The sequence below is a fragment of the Homo sapiens genome, chromosome 6, assembly GCF_000001405.40.
Source record: "Homo sapiens chromosome 6, GRCh38.p14 Primary Assembly".
Taxonomy (NCBI): domain Eukaryota; kingdom Metazoa; phylum Chordata; class Mammalia; order Primates; family Hominidae; genus Homo; species Homo sapiens.
In genome coordinates, this window is record NC_000006.12 from 70,856,144 (window position 1) to 70,876,907 (window position 20,764).

Below are 20,764 nucleotides of genomic sequence, written 5' to 3' on the forward strand. Positions count from 1 at the left end.
ATGTTTAGTGACTACGGAGATGATTAAGGTTAGCAGTTGTGATTGTATAATAGTGTGTGCAAGATATGAGATTGAGAATATTTTATATTAAATATCTACATGTTTATTTGTATTTGTGTTCATTTGCCCCCTTGTCCAAAAGTGAAGGGCAGGATATGTTCAGACAATAGATGGTCAAAGTTTTGCTGTACCTTCATTTCTGGATAGATTAGAAGCAGTCTAATATTGTAGTTAAAACTGATTAGATGTATAAAAATCCTATGATACAGGTTTTGAAAAGATAAAACCTTTTAAGTAGCCATTGCAAATCCTCTTACAGTCTGTTGTAGTTGTAGAAATGTTCTTTATTCCAAAGGATACCAGTTTCTTGAAGCAGTAGTTGCTATGGAGTGGTGGTCCTCTCATCTCTAACTATTGTTGAGCCCCAGGATTTGATGAGCAAAAACTTGGTGTCACCTTAGGTAGTAAATGCAACTTACTGTGAAAATGCTTCAGTCTACCTACATTAACAGATTCAAATTAAGAAGTACTGTCTTGATTGTAGATGTTTTTATATGGGCTTGGGCTTGTAAGTGATCCTCTTGAATGGCACCATTTTACCTTCTACAATTGTTTGATTCCTATCTAATTTTATAACTTTATTTGGATTTTAAGTAATGGATAAGCTGCGCTTTACTATGCAGAATTTGATAGCTTATTTTGGTGTTTGTCTCAGGGGACACCCTCTGCACCAGCAGCTGCAACCCTGTCTACAGTAACATCTGGGGATCTAGATTTATTCACTGAGCAAACTACAAAATCAGAAGAAGTGGCAAAGAAACAACTTTCCAAAGACTCCATCTTATCTCTGTATGGCACAGGAACCATTCAACAGCAAAGTACTCCTGGTAATGAATTTTGATATCTGCTTTCAGTGACATTACTAGAAGTACATCCTTTGTAATTATATAATAAGATCAATTATATATCTTTTATTGTTCCATGTAGTGAGTGCTTTTGTTGTTGCAGTTTATACAACTATGAAGCCGAAATGAATGAGCATTAGAATTAAAAAATTAAGAGGCATGTACAGGATTCACAGAACTTTATTTGGAATTAACAAGCTGTTCATAGATCACTAAATGTTGTTTCACAAGCTTATAGAACATGGATTATCTTTGATGAATTATTGAAACGATTTGCATGAAGTTTATGACTGCGTACAGTGTATTTTCTCTGCAGGTAAACAGTCTTGAGTTACCACATGGATTAAAAAAAATCTATGAATTTTTTTGTAATCATAACAAAATATTAGCATAAGCCTTATTGTTTACAGAGTTTTAATCTTTCACACCATTTCCTTTAAAATAATGAGCTGCATTTCACATGTGAGCTAAAATTGTTGGGCAGCCCACTACACCTATTGAAGCGAGATATAGTCAGCTCTCACTTCCCTGTTTCGTACTGGGGGACCAGTGGTACAAATCAGCAATAAAACAGTGTATGATGTCATGCTACATAGTTTGGTCTTCACAGTGGAAGATATTTTGTGTGGCTGTTGCATATGATTTACATTTCTTAATTAAATTTACTCAGGTTAATAACTGATTTGTCTGCATCCTAGAAACAACCAGCTCTCAGGGTTTAGGTGTGGGTTGGTCTGAGTAGTAGGAGCAGCCAAACTGGAATTAAAATGTTTGCTGTGAGTAGTTCAGAAAGGCAATTTTTCTGTGATTATAGAGATGAGTGCAACTACACGTGATAGCTCTGTCTTCATTCATTTTCTTTTTGTGGTGCAGGTGTATTTATGGGACCCACAAATATACCATTTACCTCACAAGCACCAGCTGCATTTCAGGGCTTTCCATCGATGGGCGTGCCTGTGCCTGCAGCTCCTGGCCTTATAGGAAATGTGATGGGACAGAGTCCAAGCATGATGGTGGGCATGCCCATGCCCAATGGGTTTATGGGAAATGCACAAACTGGTGTGATGCCACTTCCTCAGAACGTTGTTGGCCCCCAAGGAGGAATGGTGGGACAAATGGGTGCACCCCAGAGTAAGTTTGGCCTGCCGCAAGCTCAGCAGCCCCAGTGGAGCCTCTCACAGGTAGGGGTCATTTACTTTCTAGCTTCTCCCAAATCAAACCAGATTTATTTTCTAAATCTTTTTTTTTTTTTTTTTTTTTTTTTTTTAAGTCTAGTGATCTGGCAGAAAGAATTCAATAGGGATAATATGTTATAGGGTCAAAAGTATCTATAAATATTATGAAGTTGTATCAGATAGACAAATGATGTGTTATTATCGCTATTTTAGAGTATTCTGTAAAAAAAAGGTTAAACATCTTTCATTTCAAATTGTAATGTAACTGTAACGTGAACACCACTAATGGCCAGAAATTATCTCAGGCATCATGAGACTCCCTCTCTGTCACCTCTGAGATTAGCACTAAGCTTTATCCAGCTTGCTGGTGGGACATTTTTACAGTCCACTTAGACAACTTAGCTTCACTAATAATTTTAGGATCTTTTATTAGAAAATAAAAATCTAGCCTCATATTCTCAAAGCACTATTTTATGAGGGATCTAAGGCTATTTTTCAGGTCGGATGATTACTGCCCCATGGCTCTGTAAAAATTCTTTTTGTTGAGAAACCTTTGTAAAGTTGTATTTTCTTTTTACATACCCTATAATGACTTTTATGTTTAAAAAGAGTACAAAAAGATTCAATTCCCATAAGGTGTGAACCAGACATCCCCTCATATTATAAAATCCTATTTCTACCTAAGTTAGAGCTGAGATAGAACATTTCTATTTCAGGTGCTGTGTTCTGACTTTTCTCTAGCTGCACAGACAAAGGCTCTTAGAGAGGTTCATGCTCCCACTCTTCTTCCTTTTACACTTCCCATTGATGTTCCTCCAGCATTTTGGCAATCTTGGTTTCTGTTTGGTCACTTGTTTTACCTTTAGAGCATTCAGGGAATAGTCTAGAGTGATTTCTAACATTAGCACAATCACTATATATCACAGTTAATTTTGCTACCACCATTTACAAGAATATAGGTAAAACATTGGTCTCTACCCGCTGGGAATCTAAAAAATTGTATGTGCTAAGTGTCAGTCACATGGTCAACATGCTGAAGCACACCCAGCTCAGGTTAAGGTGCTAGATGAACCAGGAAGGAGTTAATACTGGCTCTTACTTCCAGATAATGCAGAAGGGTGATGCTGTTCTCCAGCACTCCATCAGTGCAATCTACTGGCCAATGACAAGGTGGTTAAAATGTCCTTTAGTAGGTATGAAGACGTGATCTGCTTCTTCAGACACTTATGCCTGATTAGTGATGTAGTTTATGTTAGTGTCTTTGAAACTGTAAATAAGTCAAGTCAAATGTATTAAATTAAGAACACAGTCTAACTCTGAGTGTAAGTTTTAAACCCACTCACTATATGGTAAATCTTGCCTTTCCTTCTCTTATCACCAATTTTGGAAGTAAGAGAATCACAGGGTTAAGATGCTTATATATATATATATTTGACTCCAGTCTTGAAGAAAAATACATGTAATCTTATGCTTTATTGCATACAATGAAAATAAATTTTAGATGTTTATGTTGTTAGATCAGCGAGAGAAATAAATGCTTTATGACCACTTTAAAAATATTTAGGAAGTATATAAGATTTTAATAGAGAATAATATCTATCATACAAAGTTTATAGGATAATTTTAGACTATTTTACTTCCTAAAATTTTCTTACTCCTTAGTAGTTAAAGCACAATATCCTAGTGTAGGTGAAAGTTAGTTAGAGTAGCGGACTCATTAAAATCCCAAGATTGCTTTGGTATTTTTTTTTAAGTAAGTTGTGGTTAATCTTTGGGGAAACTGTATCTAGAAAGTAGATAAAGAAGGGAACAAAGTAGCTATTTGCTTTAAGAAATATTTGTATGGTACTCTGTTTTTATTCCAGTGCTTGGACTAGTTGTCACATTAATGAAAAAATGACCAACTGTGTGGCTAAAGAAACAAGAATTAAAAGTGAAGTAAGCCTCTTGAACTAAGCCTTTTATATGTTTCACAGATGAATCAGCAGATGGCTGGCATGAGTATCAGTAGTGCAACCCCTACTGCAGGTTTTGGCCAGCCCTCCAGCACAACAGCAGGATGGTCTGGAAGCTCATCAGGTCAGACTCTCAGCACACAACTGTGGAAATGAAAACTGCAATACAAGTTTCATCCAGAACTACCACCTGACATTCCTTGCTGAAACGCATCTAGTTCCCCTGTTTATTCATATGCATATTTTTTTTCTTTTTACCCATTTGTTCATATTAAGAATGATCTGATTGACCGTGTTGGTCTGTACTGATTCAATTTGATGTGGTGAAAAGCAGGTTGATAAATCATTTTATGTCAAGGGCAGCTTTGCTCATATTTCCCATGATTTCATGTACTGCATTATTTGAGAAGCTGCTCAACTTGCAAAATCAGTTTTCCTCTCAATAAAATTATAGCTCTAATGTTTGCATATAAGGGAAGTAGTTATCATGTTAGTAATACCTCTAATAGTATAAACCCCACCCCAAAATTAGCCAGTAATCCTGTAGGAAGGTACTGTATGATCAAATGTTTAATCATATAAATAGAATGTAAATGTCTCACTGAGCACTGTTTTCTAGTGTATCAAAATGCTCTTATTTCATCATTCACTTCACTGTGCTGTTGTTATGATGTGCTTAACAGGGAACGTGATTAGTGAAAGGAAGATAAACGTGGATGTTACTCCAAAACTTCGTTTAATGAATGCTTAAAGAATTCAAATTTTATCTGCCTCTCTTGTAATTTGGATCTCTTCTTAATGTACATAGTGCTAACATGAAGACCTTTTTCTGCACTATATGCAAACAGGGTAACTAACTAAAACAAAGCCACTTTCAATCTTCAATCCTTGAAGGTATATCTAGGTTTATGACAGTAATTGTGTTTACATTTTATGGTGCCTAGTATTGACAAAATGTTATTTCCCTACATTAAACATGACTCCATAGACCTTTTCATTTGTGGGTTTTTATTTCCTATGATGTATACTGCCACTAACCTTCCAAAAATTACTTAGTATTGCAAAGTCAGGAATCATCAGGAACGTTTAGCTGACAAAATACTTGTCTGTTTTAAAAACCTGTTCAAGTCTACCAACCTGTTCAAGTCTACCAATTATAAGGGCAAATTGGAGAAAAAGAAAAAATATATACTCAAGAGTGGTATCTTGCAGTATCGGCACTGTACAAAAAAATCTTCCAATTTAGTTGTTGTAGAGAAAACATGCAGAACAAATGAAGACAAAACATACATTTTGTACCAACCATCCAATTAGCTTATGTTAACTGACAAGCTCCATTTAAACAGATGTCCATCAGATGACAAGAAAGGCTGCTGTACTGAAGTAAAACAAACAATACCTGAATGCTCTGTAGCCTAAACTCCAAACATCCTCTTCCATATGGATCCACTGGCTGGACAAACTGCACCAGTTGCTGCTTCAATTTATACCTCAATTTTCACTGTGTCCAGGTGGTACTTTGGCTCGTTGGCTAGATTAACCTTCTCTGTCCGAGTGTGCCACACGAGAACCTGAAGGGGAAGGAAATAGCTTGGGTAGCGCACTCTTCATGGTGACACTCGAGGTCGGGCAGCACAAGTGTAATGAATACCTTAGTGCAGTTATTTGCTTTCGGTTCCAGTTCTTCGACTGTTGTTATCTGTTTGAGAAAGTCAGATTCTTGCATCCCTGGCTGGGATCCACGACGCTTAAATACAGCTTTTGGATTGGACAAAATGACTTGAAGACTTACAGCAAATCCTTTGTGAAAAATAAAAAAAAAAAAGAGACTTTAAAATCCTGGTGTACTTCTCTTTTTTTCTGTATAATTTTGGTCACATCAAAACAGTTTTTAAAATACCTACTGTGTGTCAGGTCTTGGTTTACAAAGTTGAATAGGAACATTACCTGTATTACAGTCTCAAAGGAAAATCAGTCATTACAATATTTTACATTCCGTGTAAAATAAAGGCGTGCACAGGAGCATCTACGCAAAATAGGAAGTTTAGTCTGTTGATAATAAAGGGTGAATTTTATAAGCTGCTGTTTCACAGTGATCATCAACCCCCCACATTTGCCACTAGGAATAACTAAGAAATAAATGCAGCTGAAAAACATACATGCTTACCTAACTACATGTGGGGTATGAGACCACATGCCCAGCTCTCCTGCCTGCCCTGTAATATTAATTATGTATGCTTCCTTAAATCCAGCACTGCTTGGATTCATTTTGCATTTAGAAGAGGGAGCAACAGAAGTAAAGCCGATTAGCTGGAAAATGAATCATACCTAATTTTTAATCATCTGGTTTATATTTCTAATTTGGTTCAATCTAAAAAGGGTATGTGGGGCAGAAATCAGTGCAGGAGATATCAGGCCATCATCTGATAAAGTTTTTTTTTGGTATTTCATTTACCAAAAATAAGTGTAAATTTTCTTCAATGGTTTGGTCATACGAAAAATCATTACTGGCTGGGCACAGTGTCTCACATCTGTAATCTCAGCACTTTGGGAGGCCAAGGCAGAAGGATCTCTTGAGCCCAGGAGTTCAAGACCAGCCTGGGCAGCATAATGAGACCCTGTCTCTACAAAAAATACAAAAATTAGCTGGGTGTTGTGGCACGTGGTGCGTGCCTGTAGTCCCAGCTACTTAGGAGGCTGAGGTGGGAGGATTGCCTGAGCCTATGAGGTTGTGGCTGCTGTGAGCTATGACTGTGCCACTGCAACTCCAGCCTGGGCAACAGAATGAGGCCCTGTCTCAAAGAAAAAAGAATCATTCGTATTTAATCTGTAGTTTAACAAACTGTTTAAAGCTCAGCCATTGAAGCACTCTACAATTGTTTTTGCCATCTCAGCAAGTAATAATTGTTTTGAAGGTCTGAAGCCCTGGATCTCTTTTTCCTTAGTGACTAAGGTGATACTGTCAAGTCAGGCACCCTCCCAGAGTTGAAGCTCCGGGCACCAACCCACAAAACATTTCTCAGCAACTTTTGCCCTTCTCTACATTAAATGAGTTGATTTATGATTCAGTTTGCAAAGTAATACTAAATGATACCAGGTGGTAATGGAGGAGCTGTGAAAACACCACAACCACCATCCTCTCCAGATGCCAGACTGGGCCAGTCTCCTGTTCCAGACCCTGCTGCCTTTTGGAGAAAAGTTAACACTAAGCCACTTACAAACATAACGTGGTACAGCAGGTGCTGAGTGAAGCAGAACAAAGAATCATAAAGCATTAGCTGTAGGACTAGCCCCAGTATCGATACCTCCACCAACCCTAAAGGGAGGGAGGTGGCACATTTTAGCAGAGAATACTGGATTTGGAATTAGAAGCCTTTTGTTTTTGCCTAGGTCCCTGCCCCTGGGACACTGGCCAACTCATTTAACCTTTCTTGATTTTCTAACTTCCCCATTTCTTTATTTGCGAGAGAAGTGTAACACTTCAACTCAATGTTTGATGAAAAATTGAGGTATGGAAAGACTCCACTGACTGCAAAGCACTGTTCAAAAGATACTACAATATATAAATAAAAATACTATTGTCAGTGTGATCATGAGGGGCAGGTGATGCCAGCCACCATTTATGGCTGAAAGAATACTGGTTGACAGATGTAAAAGGTTTGGGAAAGTTCCAGGTAGCAAAGCCAGGACACCTACATGTGATAGCAACTCTGGTAACAAGTCCACAGCCTTCCTTAGACACAACTAGGACAACCACCAGACACCTCAACAAAAGCCAGAGGTTCAAATTGATAACGTAGTGTCCTTTCCAACAGGTCAGATCAGATTTTAGTGTTAAAAGATTTCTTGCTTTTTCCCACATGCTTATAAATAAGCTTTATCCTTTTTTTTTTTTTTTTTTTTTTAAATTCAGATGAGAGCCTACCCTTCTCAGTCATACTGAAACTCCTGATACATTCTTCACATGGCTTCAGGATACTGGTTGTATTTCCCCATTCTCTCAAAAACATGGGATCCAAATTGTGCAGAGGTGATTTCTGGAAATGATATGGAGCCACCTGGATCTGATTTCCTTCATTTTCCCCTAAGACTTTAACACATTAACCATCACGACCACTGAAGGATTCAGATTCTTTTGTTGCTTTCCTTAGCACAGGAATATCCTTCCAGCGCTTCACACAGAATGACATGGCAAAATCTACAATTTATGTAAAGTTAACAGCCAGTTGTGAAGCTATACATCATTTTGCAGCAAGGTCTCCTTTCCTGGTGTCACTAGAGAATGGTGCGCACCTGAAAGGCCAGCACCCTGGAGACATGTTAGCCTGTGGCTCTCCACAGTACCCAAGTGTTTTTCTATTCTCTAATACAAAGGGGTGGAGGAGCACAATTCAGATGCCCCACAATCAGCTAACGCAATTTCCTTTGCTCAGTGATCTCTTGAAAGGAAGCAGGTCACAGCTGGCAGGAGAGACTGCATGTTAACTAGGTCAACCCCTGGGTTACTTTTGGGGAATCTGACCCGCTGTGAAGCTGGGGGCAGAGTTAAAGAGTTCTCCCCTCTGAAATCACAGTAAAGGGAATCCTAAACCATTGATTTCCAACCTAAGATGTTTTCTTGGGTAATTCCAAGTATTTATACTTCAAGTATTATATCTTTCCTTTTTTAGTGAGATTCGTTATCTTTAAAGATGTTGGTTACTTTGGAGATGCTTACGAAAGTCATGGGAGTAGGATTTTCTGCCCTGGTCAGCTGAGTAAAAAAAAAAATGCAAATAAAAATGATTGTTCACTGAGAAGGCAGGATTTCCTGACTTCTTCAGCAGAGCTAGGTGGGGAGGATACACAGTCACCCTCTGTATCTGCAGATGCATCTGCAGATCCAACTAACCTCAGATTAAAAATATCTGAAAATAAAACAAAAAAATGACAATACAACAAGAAATAATAGGGCTTTTTTGTTTTTGGACAGAGTTTCACTCTTGTTGCCCAGGCTGGAGTGCAGTGGCACAATCTCGGCTCACTGCAACCTCTGCCTCCTGGGTTCAAGTGATTCTCCTGCCTCAGCCTCCCGAGTAGCTGGGACTACAGACGTGGGCCTGGCTAATTTTGTATTTTTAGCAGAGACGGGGTTTCACTATGTCGGCCAGGCTGGTCTTGAACTCCTGACTTCAAGTTATCTGCCCCCCTCGGCCTCCTAAAGTGCTGGGATTACAGGCGTGAGCTACAGCAGCCAGTCAAAATAATACAAGTTTTAAAGCTATATAGTATAACAACAATTTGCATGGCATTTGCATTGTATTAGGTAAGTAATCTAGAGATGATTTAAAGTATACAGGAGGATCTGCCTAGGTTATATGTAAACACTATATCAGGGACTTGAGCGTCCATGGATTTTGGTATGAGTAGCAGTCCTGAAACCAATTCCCTATGGATACTCAGGAATAACTATTCCCTCTCAGGCAGAGGGATAGGGCCTACCTCCATATATGATTACTGATTACTGAGTAGAAAATTTGTAAGACTTTAAAAGTCCAACAAGCTATTTACATTTCTGGACAAAATTGCAATAGGGACTGGTTTTTCCTCACTTGTTTTAAATAACAAAAAGGCAGACAAAATGATTGAAAAAAGTTTCCAGACATTGGAAAAGAGGCACATGAGACAGAGATCTCTGAGAAAAGAGAAATGTGACCCCTACAACTGCCCCAGCTTCCTGCCTGAAGTATGTTTTCAGGCTACACCACAGGGAGGGGAACCCGGAAAGCTCTGCAGTCCCCTTGAATTGAGGAAACAACTGAGAATTTGAGGAGGCCAAGACAACTAGGATATGCAGGGTGGAGTACTAGAGAAGGAAGAACTCTGCTGATCTGTAGACAGCTCTCCTCAACTCTTCAACTGAGTATGAAGAGCAAATGCTCACACAACTACCTCAGGCCAGGTACAGAACCACTGGCAAGGAGCAGGTGAATCAATTACTGGAGGGGACTAGTTCCCATTCTCAGTAGCCAGAGTGGAGCTACCTAGTAACAGCTGGAGCACCTGGAGGAGAACTTGGAAGGTTATCGTGCCTGTTGTAAGGTCAAATTGATTAGCCCTAAACTAGAGGCTGAGATGGTTTTGCCTAACAAACTTCAAAAGCAAGCCTGGAAAGGATCAAAATGTTTCCAAGTTAACTCAGTTGTGTCCCAGTACAAAGCTCAAGAATACATATGTATTTATAATATAGTATAACATTACATATATATGTGTTTTTATGTATGGTTGTGTGTATACATATATGTCTCTCTCATCCAGTATCTAGCAACATAAAATTCAAAATGCCTGATGCCCAAGACACCTCAGTGATGAAAAATACAATGTCTGAGATGAAAAATACATTGGATGGGATTAGCAGCAGAGGAGACACTGCAGAATAAAAGTTGAGTAAACTCGAACACATAATGATAGAAACTACCAAAATGAAACAGAAAAGGCAAGACCAACACACACACACCGTACAGAGTCACAGGAACAGAGTCAAAGGTGAATGAATGAGGGAGACAGGGAAAAAAATTTGAAGAAATGACGACTGAAAAATTTACAAACTTGAAAACTCAGGAAAGATATGTAAGACTTAAATAACATTTTCAACTACACCTAAATGACATTTATAGAACACTCCACCCAACAACAGCAGAATACAATCTTTTAAAGTACACATGGAACATTATCACGATAGTTAGACCATAGTCTGGGCCATAAATCTGTCTCAATACATTTAAAATAATTTAAATTGTACAAAATATGTTTTCTGACTACAGTGGAATTAAAATAGATATCAGTAAATACAAAGATACCTGGAAAATATCCCAAATATTTGGAAACTAAACAATATAATTCTAAGCAAAATACAAACCAAAGAAGAAATCAAAAGGGAAATGATAAAGTGGTTAACTGAATGAAAATGAAAACAAGACATATCAAAATGTGTAGGATACATCTAAAGGAGTGTTTAGATGGGAAACTAGTTTTTAGAAAACATTAAGCACTTACTGGATAAGAAAGGTCTGAATTCAATAACCTAAGCTCCTACCTTTATAAATTAGAAAAAGAAAGCAAATGAAGCCCAAAGTAAATGGAGAAAACGACTATACTAATAGATATGAGAGCAGAAACGACTAAAGTAGAAATAGAAAACAATTGAGAAGATAAGTGAAATAAAAACCTAGTCATTTAGGAAAAAAAAGTTAATAAAATTGATAAACTCTACCCATGCTTATCAGGAAAAAGAGAAGATATAAATTACCAGCCTCAGAAATGAAAGAGATAGGTTCTACAAACCTTAAAATGATAATATGGGGCTATTATAAGCAACTTTTTATGATAGTAAATTTGACAACTTAGATCAAAATAGAAAAAGTCCTTGAAAGACAAGCTACAAGGCTCACTCATGAAGAAATAGATAATGTGAAATAGCCCTGTATCAAATAAATTAAGTTTATAATTAAAATCTTCCACACACATACACACAACCCTCCAGGACCAGAGAGCTTCACTGGTAAATTCTACCAAGCATTTAAGGAAGAAATGACAGCAATTCTACATGAATTTTTCTAGAAAATAGAAAAGGAGGAAATCTTTCTCAAGTTATCCTGTAAGACCAGCATTGCCCTGATACCAAAACCAGACAAAAACATTACAAGAAAACTACAGACTAATAATCCTCATGATCACAGAAAAATTCTCAAAATTTTAGCAAATCAAATTCAACAATAAAAAGACAATAAATCATGACCACTTGAGGATTATCTCCAGATTGCAATGTTGGTTTAAAATTTCAAAATCAATCAATGTAATTCACCATATTAGCAGACTAAAAAAAAAAATCTGACTATCACAATAGCTGGAGAAAATGCTTTGACAAAATCTAACATCTAGTCATAATGAAAAGAAGAAATAAAAGCCTCTCAGCAAACTAAGACTAGAAGTGAACTTTCTCAACTTAATAAGGACATCTACAAAAATACCTAATGCCAACATTATACTTAATTGGTGAAAGACTGAGTGTTAAATCCCTGAAGATTGGAATGAGGCAAGGATGGCTGCTCTTGACTTTTATTCAACAAAGTCCTGGAGATCCTGGCCATTTAAATAAGGCTCCCACCCCCACAAAAAAGGCAGAAATATTGGAAAGGAAGAAGTACAGCAAGCCTCCTCTTCTTCCTTCAGCCACAGTTAACAGTATCAATAGTGCTTCTCAGTTCTTCTATTGTGTAAGTATCAATTTAGCCTCACCTCCATAGGCTCATCCCACTGCCACATTCTCTCTTCTCCAACTATACATCATCTAATCTCAGCAAGGCTGTTACAAATAAGAACTAGTTCCAGTTTCTAAACGATGACTTTTGGCAACAAGACTTTTATAGTTTGGCCACAAGAAAGATACTAACAGCTTTTTCTGTGTAATAATCACTCTGGGTAGTTGTCCTAGAGTATTGGGCTCTTGACACATGTTTAGTGTTACCAATAGCTATCAGGTAATTTCAAAAGCCTCTCTTTCCCCCCCCACGTTAAACAATAAGAAAAAGAGATTTCAACTTTCATATTAAAAAGTATATACACACAGTGCAGTCATGGAACTTGCTGGAGAAAGAAAGATATGTGTGGGACCTCCTCTAATTCTGAGCCGGCCAACTCTCCTTTCATACCTCTTCCCAGCAAAGCATACACTGCCTTTTGGAATGTTGTGTGTTTCCACCTTTCCTGCCCACCACCCCTCCTTATTGAGATATAATTCACATATATTAAAACTTGTCCTTTTATATGGTATGATTAAGGGCGGTTTTAGCATATTCATAACTCTGGGAACCAATTTTTGAGAAGACTTTTTTTCCCATTGAACTGTCTTAGAACCTTTGGCAAAAATCAACTGACCATAAATGATTTATTTCTACACTGTCAGTTCTATTTCATTAATCTATATGGCTATCCTTATGTCAGTACCACACTGTATTACTGTAGTTTGCTTTCTTTAAGTTGAGACAGGGTCTTCCTATGTTGTCCAGGCTGGTCTCAAACTCCTGGGCTCGAGGGATGCTCCTGCCTCAGCCTCCTGAGTAGCTGGGACTATAAGGTGCATGTCGCTCCATCTGGTGATGACATTATTGTAGTTTTATAAGTTTTCAAATTGGGAAGTATAAATCCCCTAACTTCTTTCTGAGTTCATCACTTTCCATATCAATTTTAGAAACAAATACCTTGTCAATTTTTACAAAAAGGGCAGCCAGAATTTTGATAAAGATTGCATTGAATCTGTAGATTAATTGGGGGAATATTGCCATTTTAGCAATATTAAGTCTTCTGACCCATAACAATATTAAGTCTTCTAATCCATGAACATATCTTTCCACTTATTTAGTTCTTCATTTCAGTGATATTTTATAGTTTCCTGTGTAAGTCATACTTTATTACTAAGCATTTTATTATTTCTGACACTATTGTGAATGAAATTTTCTTAGTTTAATTTTCAGATTGTTCATTGCTAGTGTATATAAATACAATTGATTTTCATATATTGATTTTGTATCAATGCAGTCTTGCTAAACTCATTTAATTAGCATTAACAGTTGTGTGTGTTCATCACTGGCCATCAGAGAAATGCAAATCAAAACCACAATGAGATACCATCTCACACCAGTTAGAATGGTGATCATTAAAAAGTCAGGAAACAACAGGTGCTGGAGAGGATGTGGAGAAATAGGAACACTTTTACACTGTTGGTGGGACTGTAAACTAGTAAAACCATTGTGGAAGTCAGTGTGGCGATTCCTCAGGGATCTAGAACTAGAAATACCATTTGACCCAGCCATCCCATTACTGGGTATATACCCAAAGGATTATAAATCATGCTGCTAGAAAGACACATGCACACGTATGTTTATTGCGGCACTATTCACAATAGCAAAGACTTGGAACCAACCCAAATATCCAACAACGATAGACTGGATTAAGAAAATGTGGCACATATACACCATGGAATACTATGCAGCCATCAAAAATGATGAGTTCATGTCCTTTGTAGGGACATGGATGAAGCTGGAAACCATCATTCTCAGCAAACTATCGCAAGGACAAAGAACCAAACACCGCATGTTCTCACTCATAGGTGGGAATTGAACGATGAGAACACATGGACACAGGAAGGGGAACATCACACACCAGGGACTGTTGTGGGGTGGGGGGAGGGGGGAGGGATAGCATTAGGAGATATACCTAATGCTAAATGACGAGTTAATGGGTGCAGCACACCAGCATGGCACATGTATACATATGTAACAAACCTGCACGTTGTGCACATGTACCCTAAAACTTAAAGTATAATAATAATAAAAAAAAGAAAAAAAAAGAGTTTTCCTTTTCAACAGAGATGTCCAAACAGCCATGTAAATAAACCCTCAAGAAAATCTCTTAAAAACAAACAAACAAACAAACAAAAAAACAGTTATGTGTGTGTGTTCCTTAGGATTTTTCTATGTAAAAGATCATGTCATTGATAAATGGAGATAGTTTTACTAATGCCTTTACAATCTGGATGCCTTTTATAAGCTATAGTGCAATGGTGTATACAAATGGGTAGAGGGGTCATCTTGTCTTATTCTTGATCTTAGGGAAAAAGCTTTCGGCATTCAACTATTAAAAATGTTAGCTGTGAATTTTTCATAGATATGCTTTATCAAATAAATGAAGTTCCCTCCTATTCCTAGTTTATTGATCTTCTCTCTAGTGTTTTTATCATGAAAGAATGCTGAATTTTGTCAGGTGCTTTTTCTGCATCTACTGATATAATTGTGCAGCTTTTGTTCTTTATTGTATTGATATGGTGTGTTACATTGATTTACTTTTATATTTGAAATAATCTTATATTCCAGGGATAAATCTTACCTGCTCATGGTGTATAATCCTTTCTATATGTTGCTCAATTCACTTTACTAGTATTTTTTTTTTAAGGATTTTTGCATCTGTATTCAAAAGGGATATAGGTCTGTCTGTTTTTTTTTTTTTGTTTTTTTTTTTTCTTCGTGATGTCTTTGGTTTTGGTATCAGGGTAACATTGGCTTGGTAGAATTCCTTCAAAAGTGTTCCCTTCTATTTTTTGGAGGATTTGTGAAGAATTGGTAATTCTTTAAATGTTTGGTAGAAGTCACCAGTAAAGCCATCTGAAAATGGGCTTTTCTCTGAGGGAAGTTTTGTTGATTATTAATTCAATCTCTCTGTTATAGGCCTATTTAGATTTTTTTGAGACAGTTTTAATAGTCATTCCAATAATTTGTCCATTTTCATATAGGTTATCTAATTTGTTGCAATACAATTTTTTAAAGTATTCTCATAAAATTTATGTAAGGTTGGTATTAATATTCGTGCTTTCATTCCTGATTTTAGTAATGTGAGGCTTCTCTCCTTTTTCTTGACAGTCTAAGTAAAGGTTTCCCAATTTGTTGGTTTTTAAAAAACATTTTTATGGATTTTCTTATATTGTTTTTATATTCTGTATTTTTCTCTAATCTAATAACTTCCTTCTGCTTATTTTGAGTTTACTCTTCTTTTTCTGTTTTTTTATGGCAGAAGGTTAGGTTATTGATTTGAGATCTTTCTTCTTTTTAATGGAGGTATGTGAAGCTATAAATGTCCTGCTAAGCACTACTCTGGCTGTACCCCCATAGGTTTTCATATGTTGTTTTTCCATTTTCATTCTCTTCAAAATATTTCCCAATTTTCCTTGTGATTTCTTAACAAATTGATTTTTTTTAGGAGTGTGTGTATAATTTCCATATATTTGTGAATTTCACAAACTCCTTTCTGGTATTAATTTCTGATTTCATTCCAGTATAAACCAAGACCATACTTTGTGTAATTTTAGTTATTTTAAATTGTGTCCTGCTTTATGGCCTAAGATGGTATATAATCTTGGAGAATGTTCCATTGTGCCTTTGAGAAGAAAGCGTATTCCATTCTTGTTGGGTGGAGTGTTCTATAGATGTTTGTTACATCTAATTGATTTACAGTGTTTTTCAAGTCTTCTATCCCAGTTGATCTATCTAGTTGTTCTGTCTAGTATTGAAAGTGGGATGTTGATAGTTGCAATGATTATTGATGAATTATTTTTTCCTTCAGTTTTGTCATTTTTACTTTGTGTATTTTGGAGCTCTGCTGTAAGTCACGTATATGTTTATAGTTATATCTTCTTGACAGAGTGACCCTTTTCTCATTATAACTTTTTTTTGGTCTCTAGTAACAGTTCGTCTTAAAGTCTATTTTGTCTGGTGTTCATATAATCATTCCCGTTCTTTTTTTTTTTTTTTTTGGTTCCTGTTAGCATGATATATACTTTTTTCTCTTCTCTTGCTTTCAATTTATTTGTGTCTTTGAATCTAACATGTTTGTCTTGTAGACAGCATATAGTTGGATCATTTTTATACATCCTGTCCATCTGCCTTTTGATTGGGTTTTTTATCCAGTTACGTTTAATGTAATTACCAATAAATTGATTTACATTTGTCTTTTTGAAGTTTGTTTTCTACATGTCTAATGTTATTTTATTCCTCTATTTCTCTATTACTGCCTTCTTTATTATTAAACAAATATTTCCTAGTGTATGATTTTAATTCTCTTGTCATTTATCATTTGAGTTATTTTCTTAGAGGTTGCCATGGGGATTATAATTAACATTTCAATTTCTAACAGTTTAGTTCAGATTAATACCAACTTAATTTCAACAGGATAAAAAAACTTTGCCCCTACACAGATCCATTCTTTGCCCCTCATTTGTGCTATTATTGTCATAAAAATTATATCTTTATACATTTTGTGCTCCTCAAACCAGATTTCTGATGACTGGTTTATGTAGCTGTTTTTCAAAACAGGAGAAAAGAGCTATAAAGATTACATTTATACTGCCTTTCAAAATTACCTATGTAGTTACTTTTACTAGTGTTCTTATTTGTTCATGTGGATTACAGTTCCCGTCTAGCATCCTTTCACTTTTGCCTAAAGGACTCCTTTGAGTATTTCTTGTAGGGCACATGTGCTAGCAATGAATTTTCATGGTGTTTGTTAATTGGGAATATTTTCATTTCTCCTTCATTTTTGAAGGATAGTTTTGCTGGATACAGAATTCTTGGTTGATCTTTCTTTTTTTCCTTCCAGTACTTTGAATCTGTCATCCCACTGCCTTCTAGCTTCTGTGGTTTCTGATAAGAAATCAGTCTTTGTTAATAAACAATGGCTTATTAAAGAGCCTTTGTTAATCATATTCAGTTTTCTTTTGTTACTCTCAAGATTCTCTTCATGTTTGGTTTTCAACTGATTATGATGTGTCTAGGTATGAATCTCTGAGTTTATCCTACTTGGAATCCACTGAGCTTCCTCGATGTTTAATGTTTTTCATACAGATTTGGGAAGTTCTAACATTTTTTTTCAAATATTCTTTTTGTCCCTTTTTCTCTCTTTTTCTACGACTCATAATATGTATATTAGTATATGTGAATAATAAGACTATGAGGTCCTGTTCATTTTTCGTCATTCTTTTTTCTGTTCCTTAAACTGGATCATATCAATTTATCTATGTTTCAAATTCACTAATTCTTCTGCCTGCTGAAACTGCTTTGAGCCCCTCTATTGAATTTTTTGTTTTTATTAGTGTACATTTCAACTCCAGCATTTCTATTTGGTTCTTTTTAAAAAATATATAATTTCTATCTCTTTATTGATCTCTATTTGTGAGACATCATTCTCCCATTTTTCTTTAGCTATTTAGACATGGTTATCTTTAGTGGACTCCATATATTTAAAATATCTGATTTAAAGTTTTTACCTACCAAATATAATGTCCAGACATTTTCAGGGACAGTTTCTATCAACTGCTTTCTTTTTTGTGTATTGGTCATGCTTTCTTGTTTATTTGCATGTCTTGTACTCTTTTGCTGAAAACTGAACATTTGAAATAATATAATGTGACAACTCTGGAAATCAGATTCTCTAAGGTTAGTTGTTCTTTTATTGTTGTCATTATCGTTTTAGTGACTTCCTTGAACTAACTTTGTAAAGTCTGTGTTCTTTGCTGAGTGTGGGCAATGAAGTCTGTGTTCAGTTAGCTTAAGAGGTCAACTAAATATTGGACACAGATTTCCTTAAATGCCTGGAACCAGAGTCTCTCAGTCTTTGCCAAGATGCTCTGTGTCCATTTGGGCATGCTTTCAACACTCAGCCAGGCAATGTACAACTGCTTTAGTTTTCACTTCTTGATTGCACAGGGGCTCACAGTACTAAGAGGGGGAAGACTGAGGACTTTGTAAGGATTTTCTTGAACAAGCACATAGCCCTGGGCATGCATATAGTCCTACACATCCACAAGGCCTTCCAGAAATATGTCAGAGCTTTTCAAATGCCCCTACGGAATGAAGTTTTTTGCTTAGCTTGTTTGCCACAACTGTTATTGCCTCAGGGAGCTGTGATGGTAAACAATCACCACAAGCTGTTTTTGACAAACGCCCCCAGGGAAAAGCCTGTTTGCTCTAGTGAATGAGGTCAAATAAAGACAAGCCTTGTGAACAGGGTTTTCTAGGGAATTGCTGGACAGATCACATAATGACAATTCTCTTAAAATGGAGCTCTGAATGAGTTCCAACCCTGTTCTGCCCTTCTAGTAACTGCTATGCTGCTGGTTTTCACCACAATTACAGGGCTGTTGGTTTTCAAAGCTACCATGGAGGAAATGGAGAGAAGGGGATGGAAATAGGGCAAATTGATATACTACAATACTGCTCTTACCAAGATTTAGCCTTTTTTAAAAAAAAAAAAACAAAACTCCCCAGATTCTTGCATACTTTTAGCTAATTTCCATAGTTCTTAAGAAGTTGACTTTGACAAATTTTGCCAGTGTTCTCACTGTTTTTATGGATGAGAATATTCAGAAGTCCTTACTCTGTCATTCCCAATGACATTACTCTTTTTGCAACCCCAAATCCCAGTACCACATTATAGGTAAGTATAGAAGAAAAACAAAATACTGTAATGTAGGGTTTGATGATTGAAAACAGAAAACTGCTACTTAACTACTTTTTTTTCCCCTGGCCCTGTACTTTCCAGCCCTGGCATCTCAAAACTATCCAAGTGAGAAACAAATGTGTTAGTAAAATTGATTTAGGAATCATTTCCACTAGATTTAAATCAAATATAGAAAGCAGAAAAGAAGGCTATATAAAGGAATGTTTCCTTTGCTTATTTACTATCCCAAATTGCCACTGTTTCCTGCAAGTGTTCCTTTATAATTTTCATGGCTCTAAGACTGAATGCTCATATGTCATGAAGTGTTCTTTCACAGCCATGATAGATTTTCTTCCAAATCTACCCTTTCCTACTGAGTAAACAGAACCATAGCTTCCCGCATTTACTTCCAATTATAATTTAGAATTATTTTCTTCTGGTGTGGAAGAAGAATGAAAAAGCATGCCTTGGTTGTTAAACAGGTCTGTTAATCTGCTGACTACTGACTGAAACTTTATAATTGCTTCAAGGTGAAACTTAAGTAAAAGTCTAATTTTAAAAATTCCTCAAAAGGTATTTAGCAGTCATTATTTTCCATGGAAAAAAGTGAAACACTCTGCATTTCCAAGAAGTGTTCTTTATTTAATCTATAAACAATTCATTTAAATCTCTACTCTGAAAAAACCATCATAGAAAACTGAATCTTCTAAGGAAACAATCAGGATGCTGAGCAAGGATGGAAAATCTGATCCTAATAACCAAACATAATATAAAGGGGTTTAATTAACTGAATACGGAAAATATCCATGAATTATTTTTTAGTGGGCACAACTAACACTGAAGTTTAGAACCAAAAAGACTCTGATGGGAAATAAACCCTTCAGAGTTTACTTGTATATGCTGGGCATGGCAGAGTCAACATGCTTGACATGGCCTGGGTAAGAGGCCATGGTACTACTGAATTGGTCAAACTAAGCCACTCTAGTCCAACCCAGAAAATATAGCAGAGCATGGTGAAGAAGGTACTTATTCCCCAATCCTAGTGAAATAATTTTTTAAATGGTAGCTCTTCAGGGATTCACTAATGAAGCTATTACATCACCTCCTAGTTTCACATGGAAGCTATGTTGGTTTCTGACTGGAAATCTTCAGAGTTTCCTAAAGACCTATTTTAATGAAATAGTGTGGCGGGGAAGGACGGTAGTTGAGTAAAGGCTTGTAACTTGGAGGGCTTGAATTCAAATCCTTACTCTGCCATCTACTATTAAAGTGACTCAGGAAGGTACTTTCACTGTTCTGTGCCTTGGTTTACACAAATGTAAAATGCAGATAGCTATCATCTTATACGGTTATTGTAAATCTTAAATGAATATATGTAAACAAATATTTACCTGGAAACATAGTAAGCATTCTTTGTTAAGCATAATCATTAAAAAAGAGCATTCTTATTCACCAATCTAAAGGATGTTATCTTTCATTTTTCATCTTCCTTTTGATATTATTCACTCATTCAGAAGCTCTTTAGGGGCCCATTGCTGGTTTTCAGTATTGGTAACACAATACTGAATGTGGTCTCTGCCCTCTGGCAACTCCTAGTTTAATTAGAAGAACAGATATGGGCACAGCTGTGCCACAGATGCTATAAAAGGTGTAAGTAGAGAGCTTTGGGAGCACAGGAGTTGGAGAAGCAAATGCTATCTGACTA

General features: G+C 36.4%; 2 protein-coding genes across 10 annotated transcripts in view, besides 1 other annotated feature; one reads left to right on the top strand and one right to left on the bottom strand.

Annotated features, from left to right (window-relative positions):
- Nucleotides 1–5,872, top strand: part of SMAP1 (small ArfGAP 1) — a 194,133-nt gene extending 188,261 nt beyond the window's left edge. For 4 of the 8 annotated variants that reach the window (XM_047419227.1, NM_001281440.1, XM_047419228.1 and 1 more), the window contains 3 exons: nucleotides 716–887; nucleotides 1,779–2,086; nucleotides 4,057–5,872. In XM_047419227.1, coding sequence (XP_047275183.1) covers nucleotides 716–887; nucleotides 1,779–2,086; nucleotides 4,057–4,191 — 615 coding nt within the window. In that variant the 3' untranslated portion in view covers nucleotides 4,192–5,872. Of the gene's footprint in view, nucleotides 1–715; nucleotides 888–1,778; nucleotides 2,087–3,185; nucleotides 3,372–4,056 lie in introns of those variants that run through there. The other 4 variants (NM_001044305.3, NM_021940.5, NM_001281439.2 and 1 more) reach the window with 3 other exon arrangements.
- B3GAT2 (beta-1,3-glucuronyltransferase 2) overlaps nucleotides 536–20,764 on the bottom strand; it is a 100,382-nt gene continuing 80,153 nt past the window's right edge. The window contains exons 3-4 of one of the 2 annotated variants that reach the window (NM_080742.3): nucleotides 5,687–5,835; nucleotides 536–5,606 (exon numbers count right to left, since the gene is read on the bottom strand). In NM_080742.3, the coding sequence (NP_542780.1) occupies nucleotides 5,520–5,606; nucleotides 5,687–5,835 (236 nt within the window). In that variant the 3' untranslated portion in view covers nucleotides 536–5,519. Of the gene's footprint in view, nucleotides 5,836–20,764 lie in introns of both variants that reach the window. The other variant, XM_047418209.1, reaches the window with a different exon arrangement.
- Nucleotides 1,360–1,509: a silencer, noted in NCBI's record as "silent region_17323". NCBI's record gives its function as "represses an Ori minimal core promoter by ATAC-STARR-seq in GM12878 lymphoblastoid cells {active_cell/tissue: GM12878}" and the evidence as "EXISTENCE:reporter gene assay evidence [ECO:0000049][PMID:35858748]".